General features: G+C 41.7%; 1 protein-coding gene and 1 long non-coding RNA gene across 6 annotated transcripts in view, besides 3 other annotated features; one reads left to right on the top strand and one right to left on the bottom strand.

The window, feature by feature from the left end:
- LHX8 (LIM homeobox 8) overlaps nucleotides 1-18570 on the bottom strand; it is a 71021-nt gene extending 52451 nt beyond the window's left edge. For 2 of the 5 annotated variants that reach the window (XM_017001316.2, NM_001256114.2), the window contains exons 1-6: nucleotides 12050-12616; nucleotides 10315-10401; nucleotides 9743-9904; nucleotides 5898-6019; nucleotides 3666-3886; nucleotides 3056-3159 (exon numbers count right to left, since the gene is read on the bottom strand). In XM_017001316.2, coding sequence (XP_016856805.1) covers nucleotides 3056-3159; nucleotides 3666-3886; nucleotides 5898-6019; nucleotides 9743-9904; nucleotides 10315-10389 — 684 coding nt within the window. In that variant the 5' untranslated portion in view covers nucleotides 10390-10401; nucleotides 12050-12616. Of the gene's footprint in view, nucleotides 1-3055; nucleotides 3160-3665; nucleotides 3887-5897; nucleotides 6020-9742; nucleotides 9905-10314; nucleotides 10622-12049; nucleotides 12617-16271; nucleotides 16779-18395 lie in introns of those variants that run through there. The other 3 variants (XM_017001317.2, XM_047421040.1, NM_001001933.1) reach the window with 2 other exon arrangements.
- Nucleotides 11799-12311: an enhancer, noted in NCBI's record as "H3K4me1 hESC enhancer chr1:75600378-75600890 (GRCh37/hg19 assembly coordinates)". NCBI's record gives its function as "activates a minimal SCP1, AML or CMV promoter by ChIP-STARR-seq in primed H9 embryonic stem cells {active_cell/tissue: H9 hESC(primed)}" and the evidence as "EXISTENCE:reporter gene assay evidence [ECO:0000049][PMID:30033119]".
- On the top strand, nucleotides 14428-19158 carry LHX8-AS1 (LHX8 antisense RNA 1). Its single transcript, NR_187397.1, has 2 exons — nucleotides 14428-14650; nucleotides 15051-19158. It is a non-coding gene; the product is annotated as an LHX8 antisense RNA 1 (long non-coding RNA).
- Nucleotides 14469-15668: an enhancer, noted in NCBI's record as "CDK7 strongly-dependent group 2 enhancer chr1:75597021-75598220 (GRCh37/hg19 assembly coordinates)". NCBI's record gives its function as "activates an origin of replication core promoter dependent on BRD2, BRD4, P300/CBP, MED14 and CDK7 cofactors, with strong dependence on CDK7, by STARR-seq in HCT116 cells {active_cell/tissue: HCT116}" and the evidence as "EXISTENCE:reporter gene assay evidence [ECO:0000049][PMID:35650434]".
- Nucleotides 16574-16774: a silencer, noted in NCBI's record as "peak288 fragment used in MPRA reporter construct". NCBI's record gives its function as "represses an SCP1 promoter by STARR-seq MPRAs in K562 erythroleukemia cells {active_cell/tissue: K562}" and the evidence as "EXISTENCE:reporter gene assay evidence [ECO:0000049][PMID:32103011]".
- Nucleotides 19159-19484: the final 326 nt, after the last annotated feature.

Raw genomic sequence — 19484 nt, 5'->3', positions numbered from 1 at the left:
GCAAATTATGTCTTTGTTTTTTAATTTTTCAAATAGAAAAATGTTGAACAGATTTGGGGATTTTGTAAGGTCATTATTAATAATTTACAAAACAGAAACTTCATGCCTTTCATAAATGCATTTTTAAATTCACAAATTTAACTGCAATCAAATTGTATTTAGTTAAGTAATTTCTCATTAAAGAGTAAAGCAAAACAACTCTGATCATTTAGAATTGAAATATTCTAAAGGAAAAGTAAGATGAGTTGATTGTTCTTCCTTTCAATAGTATCAATGATTAGTCTCACACACACAAAAAGAAAAAAGAGGTACTTTTAATTTCTACTTAGTTTCACTATTCTCTAGGCACTAATGCTGCTGAAGCCTACTTCACTCCTTTTCCAAGTTCTTCTAACGTGGACAAGGAGTGAGCCTCTGTAGACACTCATCATTTTTAGGCCAGGAGATCTACCAGAAAAGTCAGGAGGCTGCATAGCAGTAACTCGATCTGAAAACAGACTAAAGCAGGAGCTAACTTTGGCGTGTTTAATATTAATAATCACTAAGTGAGTGCTTCTACATAGAATAAGCAATCCATAATATTAGCAGGAAATTCTTAAATATCATTTCTACAAATGGGACGGTATTTGAAATATATTTGCCAATACATCCTCTGAGTCTTAAACTATTTTTTCTCCCCATAAATCTCTATAGAATAATTTTGGAAAATTTTCTTATTTATCCCTTCCATTTTAACTCTCCTCTGTCCAAAGCAGGTACTGACTAGATAGTCTTGACTTACTCACTGGTCACATGTAATATTTTATTATCTTGCCAAATTCAAGCTCTAGTTGAAAATATTCAGCATTCCTAAATGTAGGAGAGTTTGACAATAAGGATACCGATTTATTAGAGTGTCTGGCTAAAATAAATGATTCAGTTTTTTAAAATATCTATTTCAGATTCCTAAATTATAAAGAACCACTTTAGGACAAAGATTGTATCTCATTTGTTTCAGCCACCCCTTCCATAAGATAAAATGCTAATAAATATTGAATGAGAATATACTTTGAAAGCATATTACCTATGCTTTCATCAGTAATCTGAAAATGGTAATATGCTTTCATTTTTTAAAACCTATAATTCTGATATACAATTTTTAAAACTTATGATTTAGATCACATTTACATACCATAATGTAAGGCTTAAATATTTTATGCATGTTTAACCATAAGGCTATCTACAAGATTCAAAATCTCACTCTTTTGTTTTAGCTGCTGCTGCTATTAATTGGAGTTTTGATAAGACAGACTTCCACTCATGGTCTCCTGGAAGATCAAGCAAAATGAAGAGACCAGATGTTTGAGGAGAAGGTTCCAAATCTCTTCTCAACCACTCCCTTGGTGGTTTGCTTTGAGGAGTTCCTGCACTCTTGAATGAGGTTTGTTGTAAAAGTTAAAGGAGATAAAGTAGATAAATGCCTGGTATAGGATTTGGCATAAAAAGACCTCCACAAATATTATTCCCATTTTATTTAATTAGTATTTGTAATTATTTTCCCATAGAAAAGTGTCTATCTACAGTGGTTTCAAATTTTCACAATTTTATTTTTAATAATAAATTATTATATCAAATGAAAGTTATCAACCTTGTAATTATTAAAATTACAGCCAGTCCTTCATGGGAACAGACCATTGTGAAAACAGATTTATATTAGAGATTCTATTTTAACTAGACACCTTTAGTGACTGAGTATTTTTCCAGGTCTTTCAGAAGTACTCACATCTTCTGACAGGGCATTGTGTGATCTTCATAATAATCCAATGAAGAACCCAGAAAGCAAGGCTCAAACAGAGATATTTCTTTCAATTGGCTTATCTTTCATTTTTTGCTTATTGACTATGTACTTTATGCCTAAATTAAGAAATCGAATTTATGCCTAAATTAAGAAATCTGAAACAATCATCCATTTGGAAAATTCTTCTGAATGGATCTAGATTTTAATGCTAGAGTGCTTCCCATTGCCACGTTCCCTTGGAATATGTGTGTCACATCAAGGTTTCTTTTCTAAATCATTCTCAAAATAAAAATTATCTCCTGAAACACTTGTATCCATCTTAAATACTGGCAGGTCTTAGAATACTAAACGTGATTTTCGAAAAAGTTACTTTTATTCATTTGTTAACACTGCATAAATGTCCTTTAAAGTCTGAGCTAAGATGGATACTATGTATAAGGTACCCAGCAGTGTGATAGGCGTTCAACAAATGTTACTTTTCCTTAACATGAAACAAATACCTCAGCCACATTAATCTTTTAGAAAATATGATTTCATTATCTGCAAAAATGCCAGAAGGAATCATTATATAGGTTTATAAAGCAAAGAGTAATTTAATTATTTTGATAATTTGTATAAATCAAATTTATAACAATCATGTTTAGGGCAACTAAGCTAAAAAAAATCCCTCCCTTTTCAGGGGACATAATAAAACTTTAATATCAAATTATAGAAGTACTCCCTTTACCACCTTTAAAAACATAAAGGAATCTGCTCAATTGTAGTCAACCAGTAGTTTCCTATTTACTTTAAGGCACTTTCAATTATTTCCTACTCAAAAACTGTACAATTGTGTTCATTAAATGACTCATTGCAGTTTGTTACAAAGACTAACACATTAGCGTCCCATAGACTCACATGGGACATGTATGTCTCTCTTCAGAGTCTCAAAATATTTTGTCTTCCATTGCAATTATGTGTAGTAATATAAATGCCTGGTTCAGAACGATGCAATCAGGAAGTCAGGACAAAATACTTTGTTTCCACTTTGATGTTGATACCAATAGACCCCAGGGAAACAAAACTTGAATGACTATTTCATATTATATTATGATGCTAGAAATGCAAACACTTTAGGGCAATAAGTATGTTTTCATATATTCACCAAATTAGTTTTCATAAAACACATAGGCTAATTTTTTAGAAAACATAAAAATGTTTTTGGGCAGCATGGAGGTTACTTTTTGTTTTTTTGGTTGGGAGGGGCTTCAAAAATAAAAAATTCATTGTTATGCTTACCTGAAGCTGATCTGCTGTAAAGCTGGTCCGAGCTCTTTTTGCTGGTTTTGGATGGTTAACATCTTGCTCTGTGAGGAGGGCACCTTCCACACTAATCCCATTCCCTGCATTTAAAAAACACACTATATATGTTGGTAATTCAAATGGGTACACCCATCTTACAATAACAGGTTTCTTATATCTCTTGGCTTTTTGTGTAACTGTATATGTTTTCTAGACGGCAAAACCCCTTAAGTTTTAAAACATACTACAGATATACTGTACAAAAAATATTCCACTTACAGACTTGTATATTTAGTGAAAAGTTCAAAAAGTTAGAAGTACACATCTAAGGCCCAGCAAATACAGGAAAACAACTATTTACAAAAAGAAAAGCAAAACCCTAACTCAAAGCTGCTGCCTGAGAATATGGCACAAAACTAATACATACACCATGGCTTTCCTTGTAAATAAACAAATAGAGACCATCACAAACAGTAGAGTACTTAATGAGTTTTACCACACTTATACATTGTACAAAATAATGCATTAAGATGACCTTAGGAAAAGTTATTTTTATTCCTGTATTCACTGTCTCAAAAGACTCAAAAGTATTTAAGTACATATTTACCATTTTCTACTTCTCTTTTTAAATTATCCAGCATGCAGTCATAATGTACTCTGCAGAGGACTTTCTCTTCCACCAAAGCAAACTCCTCTCCTGTGGAAAGTTGCCTTTTGCAGGAAAAGCAGGCAAAGCATGCCAAGTGATAGACATTCCCCTTGGCTCTCCGGACCCAGTCAGTAGAATGGATGTGTCTCCCACATCGAGAGCAGCGAGTTCCATACCTTCTACATTAAATAGAGGTGTGGAAGGTAAATATTTTAATGCCTGGTGAGATATTCATCAGTCGAATATTAAACCAGCACATTATCTTACCCCATTGAAATAACCTAAGTATTTAAATATTGTGAGAATGAAACAAGAATCAATTATTTTTCTAAAAGTCAATATAATAAGAAATCAAGATGAGATAGGGTCACAACTCAAAGCTGTTTATAAAAATAAGACCTTTTCTCTGTTCCTCTAAAAGAAGATTGAAGTTTTCTTTTAAAATGAGTTTTAAAATCCCTTTTGTTGTATCAAATATCAGTGCATTTATAAATTTACTTAAAGAATCAAGATAAACACACATACTCTCCAGACTGAAAATCTAAAAGTGCAAAAGTATGCTGAAGATATTTATACTGAAAAACTGAAGATATAAATAATGACTTCTTAAAACCAAGTTAAGATAATTAGAAAATGATTTAAATATAGTTTTTAGGATGTTAAAATATGTAAATATTTAATGTTGAAATTATCAAAGAATGTATATAACAGAAATTCTTCACCCTGTTGGGTGAGAAAGGAAAAGTCAGAAATGTTTCCTTTGGTGAAAAAGCTATTGTATTGTTATCCATAGAAGGAAGGAAATATTTTCTAAATTTTCAGAGTCCTAACTGGACATTAAATGCAGGTCAATCTTAAAATACCAAAGCTATATGTAAATAGTTCTTTTCTTCTTACAGCCTGAGTGACTGGAACTCTTTGTTATGTCTCCTATCACAATCACAGTCGTGGCCCTGCATGCCCAAATCACACTAGATTAGTCAGTGTCTATTTATTGACAGATACATCTTTAAAGCTATTACCACTTTGTTTTTTTAGTTACTCTGAAAAATAGAATCCTAAAGACAAATTTCAGAATATAACATGAAGCAAGGAGTTTAAAAATCCTAAAGAACTAGACTTTCACTTGTGAAATCTTTCAAAGCAAACCTTTCAAAGGGCTTTAAGTTACTACCAAAAATTAAGATTAGCCTATCCCAAGTGAATGAGGAAGCAAATTATTACCAATATTGAAGTAATGAAAAGTAAACCTGCTGAGAAATATGCTTTTTTGGTAATTATAAAATTCTGTGATTTTATAAAAGACTCTGGGTCTCATAAATTACTTTAAGTTACCTAGCAATTTTTATTCAAATTAATCACTAAACTCTTTGAAATCATTTTTTGAAATGGAGTACAAAATTAGTATTACAGCCTTTATTATATAGTATTAATTTCCCCGTTTTACAATGAACATTTTTCATTTAGAAAAGTAAATAAAGAAAATATGTTGTAATTTTTAAAAGTCATTCTTGAGAATTATTTTAATTTCTACACAACTGTTCATACAGAATTATACCTTGGAAGAAACCTTAAATTTAAACTACACAGAGATCACACGCAGAAAATGTGATATCTCATCTAATTTCAGAAACTGAAGATCGGACAAAAGAAATAGTTTGAGGCAGAATTAGATTTGGTGTATTTATACCAGAATGATCAATTCTTCTGAATACTACAGTTTATCATGGTGTACAAACCCTTAGAATTTTATAGGTTTATAAGTAGGGATCATTCTATGGTAAACTGCTAAAAGCATAACAAAATCTTGATTTTTCTCCCCCATAATGATTTTATTTCATCTAACCATTCCCACCAAACAGGGGCGTTGTCATAAGTCATCTTGTTTTTCATACTTTATACCTATGTACAGCAAAAAAGATTCCCTGTTTGTAATGCCTCAAACTTTCACTCCCCAAAGTGAAAGTATTATTTAAAATTAACTTTTGTCTACTGAATTCCCAAAAAGGATAAACATGCTTATTTATACACATTATATCTCAAACAGGAAAGCACCCTCATTTTGAAATCTCTTAAATAAGAAAAACTGGGCTTCATTAAATAAAACTGAACAAGAAAAAGCCTATTACAAAAGTCTCTTTGCATAATAATTTATTCAAGTATCTACTAAGAAAAAGCTTCACAGCATACCTGAAATAATCAAGTTTGCAGAAAATGTCTTTGTCTTTAATATAACAGCTGGTGTGCCTTCCTAGGGAGGTTCTGCAAACACTGCAGGAGAGACACCGGACATGCCAGCATAGGTCATTCACCTGTGAAGGGAAGAGAAGCCATTGTAATATCATATTTAAGAAAAGTATTCATTGGTTTTGTGTATTGGGCAATTTAAAAAACTGGCCCCTTAATATATTAACACATGCTCTGAATGTTTTCATCCAAAAGATGTCATTTTTTTTTAAGATGTCATTTTTGTAAACATGTATCTGGATATATTATCTTTTAGACCTCAACCAAAAATTTATACTAATATATGCCACATTTTGTGTTTATAATATTTTCTATTCCTTTGAAGAATTCAGGTTGCTTTTTCTTTCTTTCTTAAATGGAATCTTTATGAACACAGGGAATAGTTTGGTTACTTTAAAGTCCTACATACAGGTTTTTTTTGTTATATTTTACCAAGTTCTTCCCAGCATGAAACCTTGTGGTTAAAGAAGACAAAACACATACTCTCTCAACCTATTTTTTGGCTAAACAATTATAAACTGTATACCTCCTAAACAGAGCAATAAAGAAAGTGAAAATGCAGGTTTATAAGATAGTTACCTATACAGGACAGAAATTGCTCAGATAAATTTAAATGTTGATGTAGCAGAAGCCCGGGTTCTCTTCTAATATTAAACAGCTGAACAGAAACAATAGAAATAAGTAGAAAAGTATATTGGTAAAACTGCTTACTGATTTGGCTACAGGAGAAAAAAATAAATCTAATCATAAGTGGTTCTAAAAAAGCACTCAAGCACTGTTTTCCACTTACACTTCAAGTAGTAAAACATAAGATGGTGTTTAATAAGGCCAGTATTTTATACTTTCTAAATAGGAACATGAAATATTGTCAATCCAGGGAACAAGTCATAATTACTCTTACTTTAAACTGTTGCCATTATATTACAAGCGCTACAACTTTAGCCCTGGAGTATGAAGATGTGTATTAGATAGAACTGGCTTGCATGCAATGCAGGCTCCCAAAGTTTGCTCTTGTTAAGTGGACACAAGAACCTGATTTATGCTTAATTGAATTTCATGTAAAAGAACAGTAACATACAAAAACACCAATTACACCCTAAAAATGGATCCAATGACTAAAATAGGAAAGTAAATGACTGTGAGATATGGCTTTTGCTCAACTATTCCATAATAAAGACTATGTGTCTATCGAATTAGAACTACGGTCCAACATGTTTTTCTGCAATATATAAAAGGTACTTCGAAGCTGAAAGTTTTACTGACTTCTAATTACAGTTATGTGTCTCTTTCCAAAGCATTAATGAGAGTCTCATTTTGATGACATTCAAAAAGTTTTGGTCTTTACAAGAACTTAGAACTTACATGCTCACTATAGACAATATTTAAAATAATGAAAACAGAAAGAAATCTGAGGAAATCTGAATAAATAATATTAACAATGTTAAATACTGCCTTGGAAATAAAAAAAGCATTTTCCTTATATTTTTTTCCTAAAATGGGACCAACCAGTATAAAGTTTAGATGAACAGGCTTCCTTTAAAATTCCACTGTTTAGGGCCTTCTGTATTTCAATCTTACCCAGGATTTTGTTTTGTTTTGTTTTTAAAGCTAGGCTTTAGGGGAAGAGCCATGGCCTCTCTCTTACTCCCTCCTAAAGCCAGACCTGGTTGTCACGTTTTTTCAAAGTTCACTTCCCTCCTAAAATGTCTGTTTATCTTCCATTTCTTTGCCAGGGAGTAAAGTAAGGTGAAGAGAGGAGATTCTGGAGACTATAAACCTACTATTAATCTAATCTGTGTATGTCTAAACATACAACTTGGACCAAGCCAGAAAAACTACCCGAAGGACAGAGCACTGAAGTTATTGGACAAGGTAATCAATGCATCTAACTCCTGTCATACTTTTCTAACTCCATTTTATTTGCCTCACAAGATAGTGTTTTTCTATATTAGTTACACCCTAAAATAATATTTCTATACTAGGTCTAACTTTTTTTTTTAAATCAGTGACTCAAGTTAAACTCAAACTTTTCTGCAGGAAGTACTCAAAACGGAAAATAAAGGTTAATAATTCAGTTTTTGTCAATCATATAGTATCAAACTTTAGTTAGAAATTACACACTAAAGAATACAAGAAGTGGTACAATAATACTGTACATGGAAGGCTTCATTGGGAGGACTCCTGCCCTATTACAAAGGAAAGCTTTATGTAACTCACTTAACTTAGATTTTTATGCAATACAAAGATATATAATATATAAATGTATACAAGATTAACACTAGAAACTATTATCTATTTCAGAGGTTGTGTTAAATGTCACTTCATCATAACCCTTCTATATCTTCTCTGCTGTGAAGTGTTAGAGCCTTCATAGGTCTACTCAGAAACATTCTTAAAGATTACGGTAATTATTGAGAGGGCTCATTAAAAATAGGATGCTAGTTTTAACCCAAAAGATGATTTTGCAATATCCAAAATGCTCAGTTTTAGAAACATTGAAAGTGGAATCTTAAGAATGCAGATTTAAAGAGAAAGCCAATGTTAATTTGCCAGCTTTAAGAATCAACCACCAAGTAAGATTAATTTAGTCATTTTTAAATCTTTTTACCAAAACTTCTTCTGGCATTTTCTCTAGGTTTTATCTATAGGGTAGCATTCCCATTTTACAGATGAAGAAGCTTTGTATGTTGAGGTAGAAACTTAAAGAAACCCACTAACACGAATTTTGAACACATACTCTCCATAATTAATCCTTTTGAAAACCTAAGCAGGGTGGGGAGAGAATAGAAAGTGAACTGGTTTGCTACTAATTCAGTGTAGGAGAGACCATTATTTTAAATAGTGGTTTTAAAAAGCTATTTAAGTTGAAACCCCATGATATTCTGATTAAGACACATGGGACCATGATCTGCACTGAGGTGGATAACTGTGGCCTGCCAAAATTTCTACTCCAAAATTCCCCCACAATATTTTAAGAGAAAAGTAAAACAAATTAAGACAATCAACTCTCAAACCACACTTGAAACACTTCTTCCCAGGCTGTGTGTGTCTAACTTTATATCAATTTCCATTTTCTCCCCAAGCACTCAAGATGATGTAACAACAGCATTGAGTGGCCTAGAAGTATTAAACCTTAATAAGAGCAGGAATATATTGAAATGGTTTTTATTTAAATGGACCTATAAACTTTAACTTTGGAAAAGCCTCAGGTAACTGTAAAAAAACATAGGACTGTATTTTTAAAATTTGTCCAGAAAAGATCCTTTAAGCTACTTTACAGTGGCTTTCACCAAAAGAGACACTGCAAAAGGGAATCAGTTAATACATACCAACTTAAAATTCTTCTAAGCAGTCATGGGCGTGGGCGTCACTGGGGTGGAGAGACCACAGTCCGTTTAGAGGGAACAAAGATGTTTAAGAAAGGAATAATTCGGGGCTGGGTGAAAAATAACTAAGCAGGTTTCTGTCTCAGAATGGATAAGGGTTTTTCCACTTCCCTTCCACTACAAGCCAGTGGCTGACTCCAGCGCATCCACACACATCCGGCGCGTCCAGACCAGGATGTGTCACACATTAGCTGTTTTGCAACGACATAGAAGAGTCTGGGATTTCTTCTCACTTTATCCCACCGCATGAGTTGCCCTAAACTGGGCTGATTTTCTGCAAAAGCCTACAACCTTCACCCAGAACTTGAACGGAAAGGTTGGTGGGAGGAACATTACTCTTTTCCCAGAGCTCCCACGCTAAGCCCGCTCCCCTTGGGCCTCGCACCCGAGGCCCTATCCTACCTTGAGAAGGTATTTGTCCACGATCTCCAGGCCGCAACTGTTGCACACACACTTGCCAGGAGGGCAGCCGGAGCCCGAGGCCATGGACCGGGGCGAGGACGACGGGGACAGCGGGGCCGAGGAGGAGCACGAGTCCTCGTCCCCCGCTCCCTCGGGGCTCACCTGCAGGAAACCGCGAGGCGCAGGCGGTTCTAGACCCCTCCTCCCCTTCGCATCCCACCTACCCACAAGGGCGCCCCCACCGCCTCCCCTCCCTTCCCCCTGGCCACCCCACCCCACCCCCAGCTTCTTGAGGTCACGATTCTCGCCCTCTTCCCCGAGTCCAAGCTCTGGCTACGCACCCGCTGGGGCTGCCGACCCCTGACCTATTCGGACCCCAGAAGTCTTGCGGCCCTGCCCTCCTCGCGGGCCAGCTAAGCTTCCCACCCCACCCAGACCCTCTCCGCCCCGTCCTCTGTCTGCTGCAGGAGGGGCCAGCTGGGCCCTGGAAGGAGCGCGGGGACAGCGGCCCTTCGTCCTGCGCCGCCTCCCCACGGCCAGTCTTGCCAGCACGCGAGCCCCTCCGCACTCACCAGTCCCTCTTCCCCGGCGCCTTTGCGAGTCCTCCCGGCCGCCAGGGCTGTAGTCCGCCCGCACTCCTCTGACATGAGCCCCTGACACTGCGGAGTAGGAGGGGGAGAAAGTATGGAGAAACAGATCAGAAGTTCCGAGCGTGCTGCCCGCCCCAGCCTCGGCGCGGGGAGCGAGCTAATGAAGGCCCTCAGAGTGCGGGGCAGCGCGTGCAGCCGTCACGGCGCCTGAGCCCGGGCGCCGCGGGCGGGCTGGCGCGCAGCCTCCTTCGCTGGCCGCTGGCGGCCGCCACCCGAGCGCTGGTAGCTCGTCCCGCGCTCCCCGGGCTCCGGGTCTCCGGCGCTCACCCGGGCACGTCGGTTCCCCGCCCCCCCGCCGGGGATAACAAGTTAATAACAATCATCCCCTCACAAAGCTCTTTCTTTCCAGACGTCAATCATAGCGGAGCGGGGAACACCGGGCTAAAGGGGGTGCGGGGCAGTGGGAGGTGGAGTGCGAGAGAAGAAAAGAGGATTGAGGAGGGGGTGGGAGAAGAAACTAGATTTCTTTAATAACCTCAATTAAAAGAGCAAGACACATATATATTTTAAAAAGGGGGCTTTTTGAATAGGATAGCCCGAAAGGTGAAGAGGTTTAATAGGATACTTGAAAGCTAATTACAGCGGGATTTAAGAAGCCTGGTGTTTGTTCCGATGACAATTTGAATGAAAATGCTTCAGATTAAACCGAGCCAGCAGCTCTTTCGTAAACTTACAGCAATTAGAGTGGCGAGTGATTTACACTCGTTTCTTTAAGGTGTAAATTGCCACTTATTGCTCAGTAAGTCAACATTTGAGCTACTAAAGGATTATTTTTAACCAGCGCAAAAAGCGGGTAGAATAATGGAAAATATCCAGCTGAATTTAATTTGTGCCATTAAAAGAACTCACCCAACCTCTGACAAAATGTTTTAAAGAAACAACGCGCGTTACTCAAGTGTTTCCAAGTATTTGCTGGAGTTTTGTTCTTAAACGAAAACGCAGCGTCCCTGGGCTTAGACCGCTTTCGTTTCCAAAAACTCTAGCTCGGGGGCGGGTGGGTACCCCGAACTCGAGCGGCTCGCACTTCTGCATTTCTGACTGTTCGCCTCCCCTTCTCCCTCCCTCTGGAAGCACCAGGCAAGATACCAACCTGGGGGCCTCCCGGACCGTCGGCCGAGACCCTCCCTTTCTGGGGTGCGCTCCCTACGCGGGACCCAGCGTAGCTGCACTGAGGCCGCGTCCTCACACACAAAGGGCGTTTAAACAGAACAGCTCCGCTTTCGCCTGGTGTCCCCAACCGGCTTCGGAGCAAAGAAATAGTCAGGGGCGCCCCGCGCGCGTCCTGCTGAGGCCCTCAGACAGGCTGCAGATGATTTCAAACTTAAAACACCAAATACCCACAGGTCCTGCCTCCCGAGTGAGGTGAGAGCTTGTCAGCTTCCCCAGTCTACTCAGACAAACCGCGTGACTCGTTTTGTGCCCTGCGGTTTTCTTTTGGCATTTTAGGTAAAATGGCTCTCCCGGCAAGCCCAGGGATCCCGGAGGCCTTTCTGGAGCCCCGCAGAGGGAGGTGTGCCTCAGGGCAGGCAAGTGTCCGCGGGCAGCCGAACGAAACGAGCCAGGTCTCCGGTTCCACCCGACAGCCGCCCAGTCCTCCCGACCCACTCTCCCGGACCGCCACGATCACCACAGCAAATAGAACAAAAGCACGACTCACATGGACCTGAGAGCGCCTTAGGCTCGAGGCTTCATCTCCCAAATTACAGTCTCCATGTCTCAGGTTAAGTGAGCTTTTGGGGAGGGAGTGCAATGATTACTGACTAACGCTACTACGTAATAAAAAAAAAAAATTGCCAGGTCTGAAGATGAGGCCGTTACAGGTAGTTTCTGAACCTTGTTTAGGAGCCCAAACAACTCGAGTTTCAAGGACACTGCGATTCAGCTGGTCTGGCCAGGCGTCGGCTCGCTCACCTTCTCAGGGGGAACTGCCAGCTCCGGCACGTCCTTTGCTACTAGTTTACACACAAACATCTGATCGTTCTTCCAATACATGGCACTGCTAGGGCTGCTTATCACATACCAACTCCAGAGGGTCAGAGGCTGTCCGTGTCTGCCGATCTCCCCCCTCCCCCGCCCCGATCCACTAATAAAAGCTGATGCCGAGAAGGATAATGCTACAAGTGTGTCTTCGTCCAAAGAGGCCGCTGTGGCCTGACCACTTTCTGATGAACCGTTCTTAAAATTCCTTTCCCAGCTTCACTGAGCTCTGAGTGAAGTGAGCACTGAGCTTTTCCTGAGTCCCTCCAGGAAAAGAAAAAAAAAAAAGTTTTGTTTTCCAGAGGGTGGAACCTAATATAAAGGAAGGGGGCGTGTGGGGGAAAGTCTTTCCTGGAGAAATTGCTTCGCCTCTTTCAGGAAAACCCGCCTTCTCTACATGTTAAAATCTTTATCAGAACACGCCAACTGACTTCAGGTTTAGTACTAAAGAAAAAAAAATTGGGGGATGTCCTGTTAACTTGACTTTAAAAAATCTGCTGTCTGCATTTGCCATAACTTTTAAATTCTCGCTCCCCAACCCAAACCTAAACAAAGATTCAGGTTACATCTCTTTCTGCAGCAAGCAGAAGGGGAAGTGGAGGTCTGGGTGACTTGAAAGTTTTAGTCATTCTCTTGAAACTCGCAGCTGTCCGGTGTAGCCGAGGAATGCCACCGCTCCTGGCAGCCTGGGAGCTGACTTATCTAGCAGTTCGCGCTCCCTTTCCGAAAAGTTTTCTCATTAAGATAAAGAAGGAACATCTGAGCAACACAAAAGCTTATGATTTGCGACTAGATTTGAAATCAAGGCTACAAGAAAGACAAAAGTATGTTGCTAATGAGTATTGCTCTTTCATCTCCTAGACAAAATGTAAGCCCGAGCAGCCTTGTCTTCTGCCTCAAGTTCTGACTGCGGGGCGGGGAAGCGGCGGAGGGAGGTATTCAGGGTACCTTAATTTTGATTAAGATTGGAAGGTGTGTTTGTTTAAACAGACTCTTTGTGGTATAAACTTTATTTCATTATTTAGTGTATAAAGACAAATTTGGTTAAAAGATTATTTTTAAATGATTTTTGTTTCCATTTAAAAAGCTAAACTTCTGAAACTAAGAAGATCTAGGAGTCTATTTCTTAAAGGCCTTTAACAGAATCATAGGATTTTGCTTTAATTAGATGGAAATATATATGTAAAACACACACACGCACACACACATATCTTATCTCCTTGCCTTATTTGTATAGAAGAAAAAGAGCGAAATGATCTTGCCCAGACCCCAGCTCGGTCAGCAGCCGGCTAGCGGAGGAGATAGATAGCCTTTCCTGTGATGAAGTGAGCCTGTGTAAGAGTCTGGGACCGAGTTACCACTACAAATTTAGTTTTTCCTCCATTGCATTTTTCTCCCATAAACACTAGAGTCTTCAGAGCATTTTCCTATCGCCATTGTTTTTCTTTTCGCGCAGCTGCGCACAAGTTAATATTAGCCATCCCCCTGCCGGTCCTCTCTGGGAGATCTCGTTTAAATTTACTGAGCGAAGGGAGGAGGACGATATAATTAATCTGTGCCCTCTTAGAAAATTGAAAGATTGGGGTGGACTGACTTTTCAAAAAGCTAACTTGTGCGTGGGAACCAGAAAGACTTGTGTTTTTCATCAAATGCAGAAATCGGTATTGGGGGTGGTGGAGAAATTCACATAATGCATTTTCCATGAAATAGCATCGTTGTGGAGACCGCTCTTCCGAATGGAAAGTCAGAGTCGTGCAGAACATTGGCGCCATCAGGTCGTGTATAGAGCAGGATTTCGTTGAAAGTGGAATTAAACATAAAGGTCCGGTTTGGATATTTAATTACAGTGTGTGTGTGTGTGTGTGTGTGTGTGTGTGTTAGGGTTTAAAGTGAATCTGGGGTACTGTCTGGCTACTATCGAGGAGAATTTATCGCGCGGGTCATTTGGAGATCCAGAGAGAGCTGGAGCTGTGTTAGGGAAGCAGGGCGGGGGTGCGGGCATTTATGCGGTCTTTCCACCCACCCTCGCCTAATCAGGCGGCTCTCAGTCAGGTTTTCAAAATACTAACCTTGATCTAAGAGCGTCTATCTCTGCATAAGTGGAGAAAATGATTCATTTTTAGAGGTTTCTGGGCTTGGGGAAGAAGAATGGTCGTCAGACAGGAGCAGAAGACGTGAAAGATTGGTCTGGCCTCGCTTTACTCCAGGCGCCTTGTGGGATGCTGACCTGTCCCGGGGTGCAGCTGCGCGCACCCCTCCTTGAGCTGTAAGCCTCTGGGCGGTGAGTCAATTTCTATGTCCTGGGCGGTATAAGCCTTTGGCTGGGGGTCGAGTGTGCAAGAAGAGGGGAATGTGTTTGCTATGAATCCCAGGGCTGATCGTCCTGTCGGTCTGGGGTCCAACGACCTTCTGACCTTTTGTCAGGGGTGGGCGTACGAAGGTATAGCTTCTTCCTGGTGGCCCGGTTCCCTGGAGCTCGCGTCACGCCTCTTACCCACGCTCATCCTCGGCTGGGGCAACGGAAAAGTTATCTTCCTACTTTACAGGGGTGCGCTAAAAATCAAAAGAGTTTTTGTTTGTTTGTTTGGTCTTAGTAATGAGGGTTTTTAGCCCAAACGCCAATTGATTCCAATTTTGAACGAAGACTCTGATCAAAAAAACATCATCTTATGTGTCCACAGGTGGAAAAGCAATCGCCTGCGTCGTGACAGTTCCTACCTACTAAATTGAAAATTTGAAAATCAGAGGCGGCAGGCCCACCCAAGGTGTCTACCAACATCCGTGGACCACAGGGCTTTTTGCAAGCCCATGGGAAAGACAGCCTGAGAGACTTCGGAGTGCGTCCTGTCCCAGGCTGTGCCTCTCCTGCTTAAGGGAAGCCTTGAGTGTATCTCCCTAAAAACAGATGGGGGCAGGGAAGGGGTCTAGATCCCGTGGAGCCAGGCCTTGATTGGAGGTCCGGGCTGGAGAGAGGGAACATCAACCCGCCCTGACCCCCACAGCTTCCACTCACCCGAAGAGCTGCCTAATTGGGCTGCGAGCAGCTGCGAAATTTGTAATCGTCTAATGAGCCTTCCGCCTCGGTAATTCTTATCAAAAGGCATAAAACTGATATTTTCACACTCAGCTCGCACTGCAGGCGCCGTTTATAAACATCCTTCATCAGTGGGATGAAATTAAGCCTGCATTGACAGAGGTCTCTGGAACTCGATATTTAAAAGCAATAGATCCGAATTAGCAAATTATAACTTTAAGTAGGGAAAGTCCCCACCAACTTGACTATTGAACCCTTTGCCTCTGAGCTCCTCGGGGTGAGTAACCACACGTTTGAGAGAACTTAACCTGGAGGTTCTGCGGTGCTCAGGCAATCTCCGGAAACTCGGATTCCCGAAACTGCCCCTGCTACGGCTCCTCCCGCCCGCCTTCTAGGGACTCGCCTGGGTCAGACCTGTGGAGATCGGGGCGAGGCACAGCTGGAGCCTGAGAGAAAACGTGGTCAAAGGAGGCGCATCCAGGACTCCCGGGCGGCCTGCAGGCGCAGAAACAGAGCCCTGCTCTTGCGGACCCGAGCTTTCCCTGGCCCGCGGCCCTCACCGCCCACCTCCAGGGCTCCAGCGCCAAGGGTACAGTGGGCCATAGGACTGTAGGAGGCGGTGGAGGATGGGGAGACTTTCGCGATCATAAGAAGGTGCGGATTCTGGCAGAATTCTGGTTGGCGACTCCTTCGATCCCTGAAGGTGAAATCTCAGCTAAAACCACTCTGAAACTGTGGATGTCACACTTGGTTCAGGGTTAGGAGACCGTGTCTTTGGATTTTTGCCCATCACGTGTAACCATTATAAATATTAGTCTGGAAAAAGACTTTAGGAGATTGCTTCTAGAGGTTCTTTCCACAAACTTACCCTGCTCAGAATCTGCATAACCCCTCAGAGATGGCAGAGCTGTATACGGGCTCACCTTGGGACTTACCGGTCCCAGACTCCGTTTTATACCTTGCTACCCACAGTTTCTGAGGGTAAGAGAGGGGTGCTTTTATTCACGCCAGTGGAGGTCGCCAAAAGCGGGCGAGGGCCTCCGTCTGGGACCCACTGGTCTCTCTCCCACTGTGGGCCAAGACTGAGGTTTGATGGGCTTCCCAGCTGGGCAAGCCTGCTCCACGCGGGACACCCGGGAATCCACTGGCGGGCAGACCCTGCCTTCGCCACCCGCCCCGCGGCATTCCTCACTGCGGTCTGATGCGCCAGCTGGGGCCAGTTGTTTCAAGCGGTTCTGGAGGACCAATAGCGGAAAGCCAAGTTCTGCGACCAAGAGTCTGTACGAGTGACTCGGTGTTTCTTTCCAGCCGGTTCGCAGAGCGCCAGTAAGCTCTCCCGGTCCGCTACGGAAGAAATAGGGGAAGCGTTTCCAGTCTAAGAGAGAGGATGGGAGAGAGAAAATTAGGAACCACGCCGAAATTAAGCAGGGCAGCCTGGAAAGCTTCCCGGCTAAAAGCTATGGCGCGAAACGCTAAAGTCCATCACACCATTTATTCATTGTGACATTTCCAAGCCGACAATAGCGCCTTAAGCACGCCTGTGGTTTGGAGGTGCCGGTTTTATATGCATTTTACTGTTTAGAATGATAAACAAATCAGGACCAATGGAAACCTGATTCTAACCTCTTTCTACAGAACTCTGCCTGCATAATTCTGTAAAAGCCGAAATCCAAGGTGGCCAGAGAGAGAGAGAGAGAATCCAACTCTCTACCCGCCTCCCTTTACCGCGTTTCCCTACAAGTCCTAGGCAAACCGGGCAGATATAGCCTGGAGTTCGCTGATCAAGAAAGAGGATGGAACCGAGGCCCTTCAGGCTTCTCCTCCCCTTCCACATCCCCGTTTTCCCACTTCCCCAGGGATGTCTGAAAGCCCAACTCGGCCAGTGTGGCAGGAAAGTTAAACTTTATCTAAGTGCAAAAACCAGATGGTTTTCTCGGTTTCTGGGGATAGGTGAGAGGCAGAAGTGGGGCTGTGTGAGCCTCCTATTCACAGGCTTGGATGACATTTTGATAAGGGAACCCTCAGCTCAAGTTGTTAGCCAGGGTGAATGAGCCCCACACAAGCCTGCGCCGACCGCCCACAACTTTGGTGTCTAAGGTTCTCCCCAGCAACACTTCCACCTCCGGTGTAACTCGTAAAGCTATGCTTTTACAAAAAAAAAGTTGGCCCAAGAATCTTGAGCCATGAATTTTAAAAACTTAAATAACTTCTATATGCCATTTCTGCTACAGGAGACTGGTTCTTGTAACTGTGGCAAGGTTTTCTTCCTTTCCTTCCTATCCTCCTCCTCTCCCTTCCTCCTTCCCTGCTTGCCTTCCTTCCTTCATGGGAGTTCAGGGTTTAAGAGGTAGGCAACGTGTTATTATAGTAAGAGCACAGGTTTGAAGTTAGTAAAATATGTAATGGAATTTTGAGCAATTTAAATTTTTAACACTTGAGCTTTCTCATTTGTAAAATGAAGATGGCATCACTTGGAAATTGTCATAAAAAATCACAATGTTGAATTAAGTGCTCATCCACACAGGAGGTTCTTAGTGAACATAATGTTTCTCCTACCACATCCTCCTTCACCTCTCTAGAGAGGTCTGGATGTAGAGGAGCCACCAAAGGCCCAATTTCCCCAGTGAAGGGTAGGTCAATGTTCTTCAGCGAGTTGACCACTTCTAGGGGTTCAGAGGGTCATGAGGTTAGACGCACCTCCCTGGGCTGCAGAGGCTCCAGAGATGAGTGCAGCTGCCTGTAGCCACCTCTGTCGTGGCAACTAGGCCCAAGGATGCACAATGAACACCTTTTTCATCTCCTTTGTCGCTGGTTTATTTGAGAGTTAATCTATAACATTTAAAAATGCTTGGCACCCTTCTGTCAGTTTGCACAACCTTCTGAATATTGTGAAAATGGCAGTAATCATAGCTGTTGATTATTATTTGTCAAATGCCCCCACTGACGTTATGGCACACAACCCTACTTTAATTTATCCAAAGCCCTATTTTACCAAGCCAGGGCAGAATTCAAACCCAGACGTCCGACGCGAATGCCTGACTTTTAACTACTTTGCGGTGTTTGTCCTCTTTAGGGTGAGTTCAGAAATGGACACTTTCAGTAAATGGATTCATGATAGTTCTTTACCACTCCAGCACAAGTGGTCCAGCCGCTAGCCTCTTGCCTCTGCCCACTTCCGCTGAGCAGCTGGGGGGTGCCTGGTGTGCTGTGGGGAAGAGCGCCACCTTCCCACGCCTACTCTTGCTGAGGTTAAACAGCATTTCAGTGCCGAATAAAACGGCCACGAAGGGGAAAAAGGAGAACGCTTAAATCGGCGGTAAAATCGTTCTCTCTCCTTTTCCTTGCAGATTGCATAATTTGATGTCTAATCATCAGCAAGTGGAACAAAACCTGGATTGAATAGACGGTGACTCGATCTCCGTACAGACTGAGGTCCAAAGGTCTGCGCTCACTTCTGGAACTTTCCTTTTGGGCCTTGACCGAACTCCTGTTATTGTGTGCAGTAGCAGAGGCTGCGCTGCGTGGTTCAGTTTGTGCAAAGGCTATTTATTGTTTCTCATTTACTGACCACTCGGGAGAAGCCTTTAGCAATAGTTTTTCCCGACACAAACTTGAATAAAGTCGACCCCTGCAGTTCTTCCTGAGGCTCTACAAGCTTCCTGGATGCAGGAACCATGTGCTGTTCTGACGACGCTCCGAAACCTAGTTCAGTGCCTGGCACTAGACAATAAAAAATTGCTTTCTGAATGAAAGTATATGCTGGCAGGCGCAGGGGGTTTCATGTCTTTCTCTGCCTTCTTAATTCTAGCGCTCCTACGTCTTTGCATAGGTACCTTCTTGCTCAGTTCCTGCATCTTTCAAGCCCTTGAAGAGCTAGGTAAGAAAGGGCATGAAAATTCTGACATAATAATTAGCAAGTGGCTTGTTATTTGTCAAACGCCCCACTGATGTTGTGGCATATACAACCTCACTTCTTTAATTTGCCCAAAGTCATATTTTACCAAGCCAGGTCAGAATTCAAACCCAGACATCCGACACGGAGGGCTGACTTTTAATTACTTTGCTATTTTGTCTTATAACA

The sequence above is a fragment of the Homo sapiens genome, chromosome 1 (genome assembly GCF_000001405.40).
Source record: "Homo sapiens chromosome 1, GRCh38.p14 Primary Assembly".
NCBI lineage: Eukaryota > Metazoa > Chordata > Mammalia > Primates > Hominidae > Homo > Homo sapiens.
Note: the sequence above shows the minus strand (reverse complement) of the source record. Positions and strands in the feature narration are given on the sequence as shown.